This window comes from Homo sapiens, chromosome X (genome assembly GCF_000001405.40).
Source record: "Homo sapiens chromosome X, GRCh38.p14 Primary Assembly".
Taxonomy (NCBI): Eukaryota; Metazoa; Chordata; class Mammalia; order Primates; family Hominidae; genus Homo; species Homo sapiens.
In genome coordinates this window covers 96,424,541-96,437,352 of record NC_000023.11, presented here as the reverse complement: position 1 = coordinate 96,437,352, position 12,812 = coordinate 96,424,541, and the positions used below count along the sequence as shown (strand labels likewise).

The following is a 12,812-nucleotide window of genomic DNA, read 5'->3' as shown; positions in this document are numbered from 1 at the left end:
GTGCGCTAAATAAACCCTGAACTTCTCAGTCTAGCTGAGGTCCTCCATGATATGGCCTCAACCCACTCTTACAGTTTTATATTGTCTACCACCAAAGCATGTACATTCTATGGTCCATCAGACTGAATCCCTTGCCTTTCTCCAATCTTGCCATGTGTTTTCTTGCCTCCATGCCTATGTGTATGCTATTTCCTTTACCTAGATCATTTCGTCTCTTATCTCTGCCTGTTGAGATGCTCTCCATTAAACTCCATAGTTCCACTGCTACTTCTTCCTGAATCCTTTTCTGATCTAGCCACCATTTATGATCTGCCCTCCTCTAGAACATTTTCTTAATTGTCCTCATCATATTCTACCTTGTGTTATAGTTACTTGTACGCTCACCTTATACTATCACCCACTTCATGCTCTAAAAATTAGAAGTTTCTTGAGAGCAGGGGCCGTGCCCCATGCATCATTGTATCCTCTCTACAGTATGCCTATCAATCTGTTGTATTCAGTAGGTGCTCAGCAAATGTTTGTTGAATAAATTTATATGACTAAAAATAATAAATGCAATTGTATTTCTGTTTGGATAAGAGATCGCATGTTTTAGCATTTGGACATATGTGCAAAATTTCTTGAGGCATACGGGACCACCAAGTACAACCCGTTCCCACTACTGGAAAACCCAACAAAAAGGGTAGGCCTTGTTGTCACAGAGGCAGTGCCCTTGATCTGTTATGAAGGATATCTGGCTTCTTTTTATATAAAAAGAGCATTAACCCTGGGAATTTAATAATTTGGGGGAACAGTTCTAATGAACATTGAAAATATAGTTAAACATCCACAGAAGAAAATATGGACATAGTAATATGGCAATGCTAACCTCCAGACAGAAAATAAGGATATAACTTGTTTTTTGTTCTATAGCACGGTTAATGGAATGATTGTGTCCTATTGAGTCGCTCAAACTGTCTGAGAAATCACCAGACACCCTGAGTCAGTTTGAAGAATTTGATAATATGCCCTTAGAGATGGAGAACAGGATACATATGCCAAAAATAGATCTGATGAGTGAGTGCAGCAGAATTCCTAGTATGACAAAATCAGGAAGCTGGAATTTGTTGAGCTGAAAACCATAACAGGAAAGCAAAAGACAATGATAATGTTTGATTCTTAAAGTGGATGCCATTAAATAAACATACTAAGATGCCAGAAGTTTAAAACGATGCTATTTTCCTCTCCTTACTCTTTATTTTTATATACCATGTTGCCTGTTAAATGATCACTTCTAAGAACTACATTCTGAAAATATATTCTGTTGACTAATCATATACTTCATATTTACCTAATTGGTAAGGACAAAAAAAATGAAAATGAAAAAAAGACATCAGCTGAGGAGCAAAAGGGAAAAGGGAAAAAGACAACTTCAAAGTAATTATTTGTGATATTTTTGTTTAGGCCTGAAAAAAATGGCATCCAGCATGCTGCTACTGACATATGGTTCCCTCTGTGACCCTCAGAGCCAAACAGTATGAATAATCCAAAGCTTGCCGGAATCCAAGACTTTTATATTAAAGTCATTCTTTTTTTTTCCTTCAGCATTGTGTAGCTGCTTTGCTGAACAACAATGGAAATACATTTCCTGCCTCTCTTTTTTCTTTTTCATTTCATTTTTTTTTAATTCAAGAGCAAGCTTTAGAGTTTAGCTAAAATGCCTCCATCAAATAAAGTGGGACAGCAGTACTTAGGACTATTTTTCTGTTTTTATTCATGACCTGAGTCATAGAAGAATGCTAGCTTTGAAGTCTGAAATTTTTTTTTTTTATGTTTGGAAGATACCACATGTGTCTTTTACATAGTCTAGTAAAGATGCTTGATTTTGTTTTTTTATATGCCCTCTGTTATTGACGATCCAAGCAGTAAAACATATACAATAAAATTGTGCTTTTTATGAATTTGATTGATCTCTTTTGTATTCTAAAGAATAACCTGGCAAAGCATTATGTTTTTGATTTAGGTCTTCATAAGTCATCTACATAGAGGATACTAAATAGGAAGAGGTGATAGTGACATTTGCATGTTAGGAGTTCAGGTTCTACTTTAATTGCTGTGGGATTACATTTCAATTTTTTTTCCATGATATTTTCTCTGCAACGACAACCAGGTAGTAGTCTTCCTGCCTTAGTCTTCATTAAACTCCCATCACCCTCCACATCACTACCAGATACATCTTCTAATTCATTAAACGAATATCACTCTCCTCCTCAAAAGCCTTTGGTGTCTCCCCATTGTCTGCCAACTCTCTCTTTAATCTAGCATTCAAAGCCCTCCATGATTTGGCTGCAGTTCATCATTTGAGTTTCACCTGTCCCTAACAACTCCCTTGCTAGTACTTATGTTTCAGCTAAACACACACACATTTAATATACCCCTCATCCCATCCCCTCCTCACCCCCACACAGGTGCTCCTATCTGTCCTTTTCCACTGCCATTGCTTTTATAATACTCTCTACCAGGACCATCCAACCTCTTATTTTTACCTATGTTTTGAGGCAGAACTCCTACACGTATTTTGAGGCCCAGTTTAAATGCAACAAGTTTCAAGTCTTACTCGTCCCATTTATAATAGTTTTTGTATCTTATTTCCCCTCATCATTATCTTTCCTCTGGTTATTTTCCCTCACAACTCCTTAATTGCGGGAACTTACCATAGCACAGCAGCAGCCTTCCTTGTGCATGACAGTTGCCAATAATCCTTTGTTGAACAATGGGAATGAGACCTAATGTCCACCCCCATATCTCTGAACTTTTCTATCTTAATTATATTTAAATGTGCACGCTATTCTGGTTATTGGAACTAGCATCCTAGCAACCTTTCTTTCCATAAACGAGGGAACTTTGTGATTTATAGAGATGCTGTTGTTCATAATCAGATATGTAACGTTTATTATGTATGGAAATAACACAAATTCATTAATGGAAAACAATAGTTTGGAAGAGTTAAGTATCTGAATCAATATTTAAAGCTGCCATAGCACAGCAGGACTTAGTCCCCTCAGACATTTGAATGAATGACCGAGCCATCAATTTAACCTGTTGAGTATGTGACTGAACAGACAAAACCTTAGATGTGTCAATATAACCACACTGGCTGACCTGAAATAAGAGTCTCTTTAGCTTCAAGCAGAATTTGCAAAACTCCCAGAATTCAAGCCTCAGGTGCCAACAACACTCAAAATAATCTTTACAATTTTCTGAGACTTTAGCTATGTTCCGCTAATAAAAGGTATTATTTAGTATTTCTTGTCTCATCATTTAAAAGCCAATGTCCTGGCTACATGTATAAAGGCTTGAGAGATTCCCTTCCTGTTTATTTGGTGAGTTAAGTTGGCAGGCAACCACTAGAGAGACACTGATGTCTGTTAGTGCCACAGGTGTGAGTTTTGTAATCTCTCTTTCTGGAAAATGTCCAGGATGTTACTGTTTTGAAGGCTGGCTTCCCCTTAAAAAAAAAAAAGTAAATGTATCCTGTGCACTATTGTCACTTAGAGCTGTGGAGCAGCAATGACTAAAAGCCTCTTGAGAAATAAACACAAGTGACAAAAGATTAATTCTTTTGGCATTCTTATGGAAAAACCATGATCCTTTCCAAAGAGAAAACTCCTTGAAGTCCGTGTGGGTTCATTAGAAGTCCCTCTCTGGGAAAACTAAAGAGCAGGCAAATGATCAGTTTGTGTGTCTGACAGTGACATCTGTCACCCATTGACCTCAGATGTGACACTATTGATTTGGCTGCCTTCCTTCTTCATGGCTCCATGCATGTCCCTCTAAAACTGTGCTAAATCATTGGAAATTTTAAAAACCACTCCTTGTCTCCAATGACTTTGATTGAAGAGCTGCAAACTAGGTATGAAGAAATTCAAACACATTAGGTTTCTAGGCAGTTTGGTTGGGGGCGGGGGTGGTGGCTAAAGAGCTAGAATATTGTTCTAGAAATCTGGATAATGGTAAGTACCTTGTAAAATGAATGACCCATTGTTCCTTCACTGAAGGTTCACATTCTTGTACAGTCTTACTGAACTTGTGCACTAGTTAGCTGTCCCACTAAGAGTTTGTCACTAAACAAAACAAGCATACAAGTCAATGCTGTGGACCATGAACTTGCTTTTCCTACAGTATTTTGCTCACATGGATGGGTCAAAATTGGGAAACATGGCTTAACCAAATTCAAAGCCTTTTTGATATAGGACTTCTCAAAACCTTCATTCTGTTCCCATGTGTTTTGTGCATCTCTAAGAGGAAACTGGAATGTAAGGTTGACCATGAGACCTGTTCCTCCTGCTCACCCAGAGGAATTAACTCTTCCCTTTCATGAATGGGTATAGACTGAATACCTGTTAACAACAAAATCTGTCAGCAGCATCACTATTGAAGAAGACATAGTGAACCGGCTTTGTTTTCTTCAGTGGATGGAACTCATTCCACTCTGTAACATTTTGTTCTTGGCTTAACAAGCAACAGTGCAAGTGGCATAACCCTGCATATTTTTTGTTTTAGGTCACTCTGAGAAGTTGGTTTACTTATATTTAGATAATTAGTACAAAGCAACACTGCATTTATGGAACATTCTTTAGTTTCCTTTTAGAGTCTTCACACAACTAGGATTAAAGAGGACTAAAATTATATTACTTCTGGAAGGAAAGCTGGATCTCTACTAGTTTGGTAGGCATGAAAACTAGAGAGACTTTCACTCTCCATGGAGCAGTGATATGAAGTCTGATGCAAATGGCTCCTTTCTGGATTATTCATTCATTTGATAAATATTTATTGAATGCTTACTATATTCCTAGTGGTCTTTTAGGTGTTTGGATTAGAGTTACTTAAAAAAGAACTTCCAACCTTGTGGAGCTTACATTCTATGGGGGAAGAAAACAAGCAAGCAAATACATTTATGAAAAAAATTATATATTTACAGATCAGATAATTGATATGAGGGAACTAAAACAAGGTGATAAGCTGGAATGGGGGGTTCTTTTTATAAAAAGTGTGATTTATAATTAAAGTTTCTAATCTCAAATATGTTTTCGCCATAATGAATTTCTGTGGTAATAAAATGTAATACCTCTTCTTGTTTTTCTTCATAAATATACATACTTATAAAGAAGAGGTGATTGTTGAAAGAGGAGGTGAGCCAGCCATGTGAAGATCTAAGAGAGCAGATTTCCAAGTGTAAATTTTAGAAATTATAGGAACTGTGAGGTAGAGTCTTTAGCTGGTTTTAAGAACAGAAAAAAGCCATTGTGGCTGGAACATAGTGAGGAAGGGAACAAATAGTGCGATTTACTAGATCGGTGGTTCTCGAAGTGTGGTCAGGTATGTTGGTAGTCATACACAGGCTAGCAAGCTGTACTGTTGAGTCAAGGAATAAGAGATGGTGTCGTCCTCGGGCACCCAATTTATGCAGGTCCTGATAGTTCTCTGACTATGAGAAATCAGGGAGATTTTATTTAGCGCAGTAGTTCTCAAAGTATGATTCCTGGGCCACCAATATCAACAACACTTGGAAACTTGTTGGAAATGCAAATTTTCTACCCCATCCCAGACCTACTAAATCAGTAGGACTGAGACCAGCAACCTTTGTTGTAACAAGCCATTCGGGTGATTCTGGTGTTAGATAGAGTTAGTGATTCATCTTGCTGGAAAATAACTGGGGGTGTGAGTGTGGAGTAAAATAGTGTCACTTTAGGAGGAAGTGTCTTCTTTGTTTAAAAGCCTTATTATTCTATTTGTGTTCTTGAACCCATCTGCTACTGGAAAGTACCTAGCTTCATTAATTCATTAACTCTTCCTGCATGTATTAGGAATAAACAGATGATGCTCTTAGGGTTGTACATAGATAATTTCAGTTAATCCTTATAATAACCCTGTGGGATAGGTACTGTTATTATTCCCATTTTATAGAAAAGGAAATGAGGGTACAGAAAAGAAATTTGACCCTGGTCACAAAGGTAATAAGAGGAAGTCTGGTTCCAGAAGCACATTAATAAGTACTTTTCTACAGTGCCTCTCACATATCTGGGATCAGCTGGGGTGATTTGATCTAAGATAACATTGTTCAAACAATTGCCTTTGCTTTTGACTTTGACTTCAAGTCTCTGAATGGTGCTCATAGAGGTCACCTAGTGACTATTCTAGTCTAAAACCCTGAGAGGTAAAACAGCTTGCCTAAGATTATAGAGCCAGTTAGTGTCAGAGCCATGACTTAAAACCCAGGTCCCTAACTTTCAACTCAGTGTTAACACGTTTCCATTGAAAACAAAACTGTGGATGTGACATACTGAAAACAACAAAGCCAGGCCACATATCCAGCAGCTCATGTATTTACCAGTCTTCCTTTATCTTGCTATTGTTAGCACAATGAGTTCTTTTCCTGATTCTGGTGCCCATGAAGGGCCAGAGGACAGGGCCCCCTAGGGAGAATACTGCCATAGCTGGCAATAAGAGCAAACACTAGTCTTGCACATGGAATTTGAGTCTAGGGTGCCAGAAGGGAACATTAGGTTCTATTAGTAGTATCTTTCATTGTCAAACGCATGAAGACAACAATGCATCAAAAAAAAGTAACTTTTCACCGGGTTCTTTTTTATGTTTCCTAGATTTTCTCTTTGTTTGCTTGCATGGTTTTGTTTTTAACTGCTTTTCTCATTTTATCTGCAGTGAAATTTTACCAAGGGAATGTACAGAAGTTGACATTCTGATCACTTCTTGGCCTTTTGGCTAACATCAAGTGCAGAAGTTAACATTCTGTAGAGCCTTAAAATAGCCACCCCTGTACGTTTAAGGCTTAATCACAAAACCTCAGCAATATTAAACATAAAATCTCCATTTCGGCATATGAATCTGAAATGAACTAGCTTTTCTGTCTCTATCTTCTGTTTTACATTTACAAAAGTGTGATGTATAATTTAAGTTTTAATCTCAAATGTGTTTGCTCTAGAATAAAATTCTGTAATAATAAAATGTTCTATCTCAGCTTGATTTCCTCTAGAAATATACTAACTATTCTTGTCATTTTCCCATTAATACAGTCAGCAAATAAAATAAAGTATTAATTCTGATTTAAAATCTAGTTCTGACTAGCATAATATTGTTTCATTAGAGTCATTCAAGATGCTTTTTGGGGACCCTATTAGGGGATTAATAAGAAGTTGTGATGAAAAGTCACATATTGTATATTAGATGTAATTATACAATGCATCTCTATTTATTATCAGTCTCCCAAACAACTTCTATTTAAAGAAAAGGGAAGTGTTGATTATTCCTGGGCAAGATGGCTGAATAGGAGCAGCTCCAGTCTGCAGCTTCCAACGAGACCAACGCAAAAGGTCAGTGATTTGTGCATTTCCAACTAAGGTACCCGGTTCATCTCACTGAGACTGGTTAGATAGTGGGTGCAGCCCCCAGAGGGTGAGCAGAAGCAGGGTGGAGTGTCGCCTCACCTGGGAAGCGCAAGGGGTCGGGGAACTTCCTTTCCTAGCCAAGGGAAGCCATGAGGGACCATGCTGTGAGGGATGGTGCTATCCAGCTCAGACACTGTGCTTTTCCCATGGTCTTCGCAATCCGCAGACCAGGAGATTCCCTCAGGTGCCTACACCACCAAGGCCCTGGGTTTCAAGCACAAAACTGGGCGGCCATTTGGGCAGACACTGAGCTAACTGGAGGAGCTTTTTTCTTGTCCTAGTGGCACCTGGAACGCCAGTGAGACAGAACCGTTCACTCCCCTGGAAGGGGGGCTGAAGCCAGGGAGCCAAGTGGTCTTGCTCAGCAGATCCCACCCCCAAAGAGCCCAGCAAGCTAAGATCCACTGGCTTGAAATTCTTGCTGCCAGCACAGTCAGACTTCACAGTCTGAAGTCAACCTGAGATGCTCGAGCTTGGTGGGGGGAGGGGTGCCCGAGCTTGGTGGGGGAAGGGGCGCCCGCCATTACTGAGGCTTGAGTAGTCGGTTTTCCTCACACAGTGTAAACAAAGCCGCCTGGAAGTTCGGACCCACCGCAGCTCAGCAAAGCCGCTATAGCCAGACTGCCTCTCTAGATTCCTCCTCTCTGGGCAGGACATCTCTGAAAGAAAGGCAGCAGCCCCAGTCAGGGGCTTATAGCTAAAAGTCCCATCTCTCTGGGACGGAGCACCTGGGGGAATGGGGAGCTGTGGGCGCCCTTAAGCGTTCCTGCCTGCTGGCTCTGAAGAGAGCAGTGGATCTCCCAGCACAGTGCTAGAGCTCTGCTAAGGGTCAGACTGCCTCCTCAAGTGGGTCCCTGAACCCCGTGCCTCCCGAAAAGGAGACACCTCCCAGCAGGGGTGGACAGACACGTCATACAGGAAAGCACTGGCTGGCATCTGGCAGGTGCCCCTCTGGGACGAAGCTTCCAGAGGAAGGAACAGACAGCAATCTTTGCTGTTCTGCAGCCTCCACTGGTGATACCCAGGCAAACAGGGTCTGGAGTGGAACCCCAGCAAACTCCAGCAGACCTACAGAAGAGGGGCCTGACAGAAGGAAAACTAACAAAAAGAAAGCAATAGCATCAACATTAACAAAAAGGATGACCATGCAAAAACTCCATCCAAAGGTCACCAACAGCAAAGACCAAAGGTAGATAAATCCATGGAGATGAGGAAAAACCAGCACAAAAAGGCTGAAAATTCCAAAAACCAGAATGCCTCTTCTCCTCCAGAGGATCACAACACCTGGCCAGCAAGGGAACAAAACTGGATGGAGAATAAGTTTGATGAATTGACAGAAGTAGGCTTCAGAAGGTGGGAAATAACAAACTTCTCCAAGCTAAAGGAGCATGTTATAACCCAATGCAAGGAAGCTAAGAACCTTGATAAAAGGTTAGAGGAATTGCTAACTAGAATAACTAGTTTAGAAAAGAACATAAATGACCTGATGGAACTGAAAAACACAGCACGAGAACTTCGTGAAGCATACGCAAGTATCAATAGCCGAATCAATCAAGCAGAACAAAGGATATCAGAGATTGAAGATCAACTTAATGAAATAAAGCATGAAGACAAGATTAGAGAAAAAAGAATAAAAAGGAACGAACCAAGCCTCCAAGAAATATGGGACTATATGAAAAGACCAAACCTACGTTTGATTGGTGTACCTGAAAGTGATGGGGAGAAAGGAACCAAGTTGGAAAACACACTTCAGGATGTAATCCAGGAGAACTTCCCGAACCTAGCAAGAGAGGCCAACATTCAAATTCAGGAAATACAGAGAACACCACAAAGATACTCCTTAGAAGAGCAACCCCAAGGCACATAATTGTCAGATTCACCAAGGTTGAAATGAAGGAAAAACTGTTAAGGGCAGCCAGAGAGAAAGGTCGGGTTACCCACAAAGGGAAGCCCATCAGACTAACAGCTGATCTCTCTGCAGAAACCCTACAAGCCAGAAGAGAGTGATGGTCAATATTCAACATTCTTAAAGAAAAGAATTTTCAACCCAAATTTCATATCCAGCCAAACTAAGCTTCATAAGTGAAGGAGAAATAAAATCCTTTACAGACAAGCAAATGCTGAGGGATTTTGTCACCACCAGGCCTGCCTTACAAGAATTCCTGAAGGAAGCATTAAATATGGAAAGGAAAAACCGGTACCAGCCACTGCAAAAACAACCCAAAATGTAAAGACCATCGACTATGGTCAATGAAGAAACTGCATCAACTAATGGGAAACAAGAAGAGCTAACTATCCTAAATATTTTTCCTAAATATATACCCAGGTTCATAAAGCAAGTTCTTAGAGACCTACGAAGAGACTCCTACACAATAAAAGTGGGAGACTTTCACACCCCACTGTCAATATTAGACAGATTAATGAGACAGAAAATTAACAAGTATATTCAGGACTTGAACTCAGCTCTGGACCAAGTGTACCTAATAGACATCTATGCAACTCTCCACTTCAAATCAACAGAATATACATTCTTCTCAGCACTACATAGCACATATTCTAAAATCGACCACGTAATTGGAAATAAAACACTCCTCAGCAAATGCAAAAGAACGGAAATCAGTGGTACAAAACGCGGCTCAAGGAAATAAGAGCACCCAAACAAATGGAAAAACATTCCATGCTCATGAATGGGAAGAATCAATATCGTGAAAATGACCATACTGCCCAAAGTAATTTATGGATTCAATGCCATCCCCATCAAGGTACCATTGCCTTTCTTCACAGAATTGGAAAAAACTACTTTAAATTTTGTATGGAACCAAAAAAGAGCCAGTATAGCCAAGACGATCCTAAGCCAAAGGAACAAAGCTGGAGGCATCATGCTACCTGACTTCAAACTATGCTACAAGGCTACAGTAACCTAAACAGCATGGTACTGGTACCAAAACAGATATATAGACCAATGGAACAGAACAGAGGCCTCAGAAATAACACCACACATCTACAACCATCTGATCTTTGACAAACCTGACAAAAACAAGCAATGGGGAAAAGATTCCCTATTTAATAAATGGTATTGGGAAAACTGGCTAACCATATGCAGAAAACTGAAACTGGACCCCTTCCTTACACCTTATACAAAAATTAACTCAAGATGGATTAAAGACTTAAATGTAAGACCTAAAACCATAAAAACCCTAGAAGAAAACCTAGGCAATACCATTCAGGACATAGGCATGGACAAAGACTTCATGACTCAAATACCTAAAGCAATGGCAACAAAAGCCGAAATTGACAAATGAGATCTAATTAAACTAAAGAGCTTCTGCACAGCAAAAGAAACTATCATCAGAGTGAACAGGCAACCTACAGAATGGGAGAAAACTTTTGCAATCTATCCATCTGACAAAGGGCTAATGCCCAGAATCTACAAGGAACTTAAACAAATTTACAAGAAAAAAACAACCCCATCAAAAAGTGGGCAAAGGATATGAACAGACACTTTTCCAAAGAAGACATTTATGTGGCCCACAAACATATGAAAAAAAGTTCATCATCACTGCTCATTAGAGAAATGCAAATCAAAACCACAATGAGATACCATGTCATTCCAGTTAGAATGGAGATCATTAAAAAGTCAGGAAACAACAGATGCTGGAGAGGATGTGGAGGAATAGTTATGCTTTTACACTGTTGGTGGGAGTGTAAATTAGTTCAACTATTGTGGAAGACAGCGTGGTGATTCCTCAAGGATCTAGAACTAGAAATACCATTTGATTCAGCAATCCCATTACTGGGTACATACCCAAAGGATTATAAATCATTCTGCTGTACAGACACATGCACACGTATGTTTTTTGCAGCACTATTCACAATAGCAAAGACTTGGAACCAACCCAAATGCCCATCAGTGTTAGACTGGATAAAAAAAATGTGGCACATATATACCATGGAATACTATGCAGCCATAAAAATAATAAGCTCATGTCCTTTGCAGGGACATGGATGAAGCTAGACACCATCATTCTCAGCAAACTAACACAGGAACAGAAAACCAAATACCACATGTTCTCACTCATAAGTGGGAGTTGAACAATGAGAACATATGGGCCTAGGGAGGGGAACATCATTCACTGGGGCCTGTTGGGGGGTGGGGGGCAAAGGGGAGGGATAGCATTAGGAGAAATATCTAATGTGGATGACGGGTTGATGGATGCAGCAAAGCACCATGGCACATGTATACCTACGTGACAAACCTGCACATTCTGCACCTGTATCCCAGAACTTAAAGTATAATAATAATAAATAAATAAAAATGGAAGTGTGTTCAAAATACTTTTTGATGTTTTTAACTTAAAATTTATTTTGTCCCTGGCTGTTCCTAAAATATAGGGCCTAAGAGAGGGAAGAAAGTTTTCTCAAAGTTTTCTGAAGAGGAACTCTTGCTTTTAGATTCTTGCTCAAGTGTTTTTGAGACTACAGTGTGTGTTGAGCAATAATGCCCACCCTCTTAGCAAGGATCTTAAGAGAAGGTATTTTATTAAAATACCAGCTTCCCCTTTTTTCACTTCCTTGCTTTCAAGTAAAATTATGGCTTTTGCAAAGAATACCTCAACAGTTAATGTGACTCATTTTTCTTTAATACTAATACTGGGGTTTCTGCTGCTTTAAAATAAAAAATTTCTAAACTATTGTAGCTCCTAAAAACTGTGTCACAGGCCAGTGCACTACAATATAGAAATTCCATGTGTGCAATTAGTTTTAATTAAGAGTGGGTTAGATTTTCAGATAAATTGGTAACCTAAGTTCCCAACACAGTGTGTTAGCAGCATTACTGCAACTTGAGGAGTTACTAGGAAGTGTTTTTACTTTTATCCTTGTATATTAACAAGGTTAAGGGCAAAGGCTCACTTCTGTTCTAAGTGGAAGGAGTAGTTCTCATTCTGAGATTAAATATCTCTTCAGGAGGCTGGCCAAGAGTTCTGCTTTTTATTCAGGTCTTAATCTTTTTGGTCACTTACACATATTTAGTGTTTTGGTGTGTAGGCACACAAACAGTTATGTAGAGACAGGCACACAGGTTTTTCTCTAACAGTTTAGAAGCTGTACTAGACACTAGGGTGACCATCTCCCCTTGTTTGCCCAGAACTGAGGTCTTTTCCTGGAATGCAGTACTTTCAGTGCCTAAACCAGGAAAGTTTTGGGCAAACCAACATGGTTTGTCATCTGAGTTCAAGAAAGTAGTTCTGGTATGACAATACAAATGTTTTGTACTCCCCCATAGTTAATTCTGGCCTTAAAGGGGAGATATTTGGGAAGCTAACTTAATACTTCTAGTATATAACAAAAGTAGTGAAAATAATCAAA

General features: G+C 39.4%; 1 long non-coding RNA gene across 1 annotated transcript in view; it reads left to right on the top strand.

The window, feature by feature from the left end:
* The window catches only part of LOC107985714 (uncharacterized), a 114,069-nt gene extending 104,987 nt beyond the window's left edge, over positions 1-9,082 (top strand). The window contains exon 3 of the long non-coding RNA XR_001755917.2: positions 7,260-9,082. This is a non-coding gene — a long non-coding RNA (uncharacterized LOC107985714). The remainder of the gene's footprint in view (positions 1-7,259) is intronic.
* Positions 9,083-12,812: the final 3,730 nt, after the last annotated feature.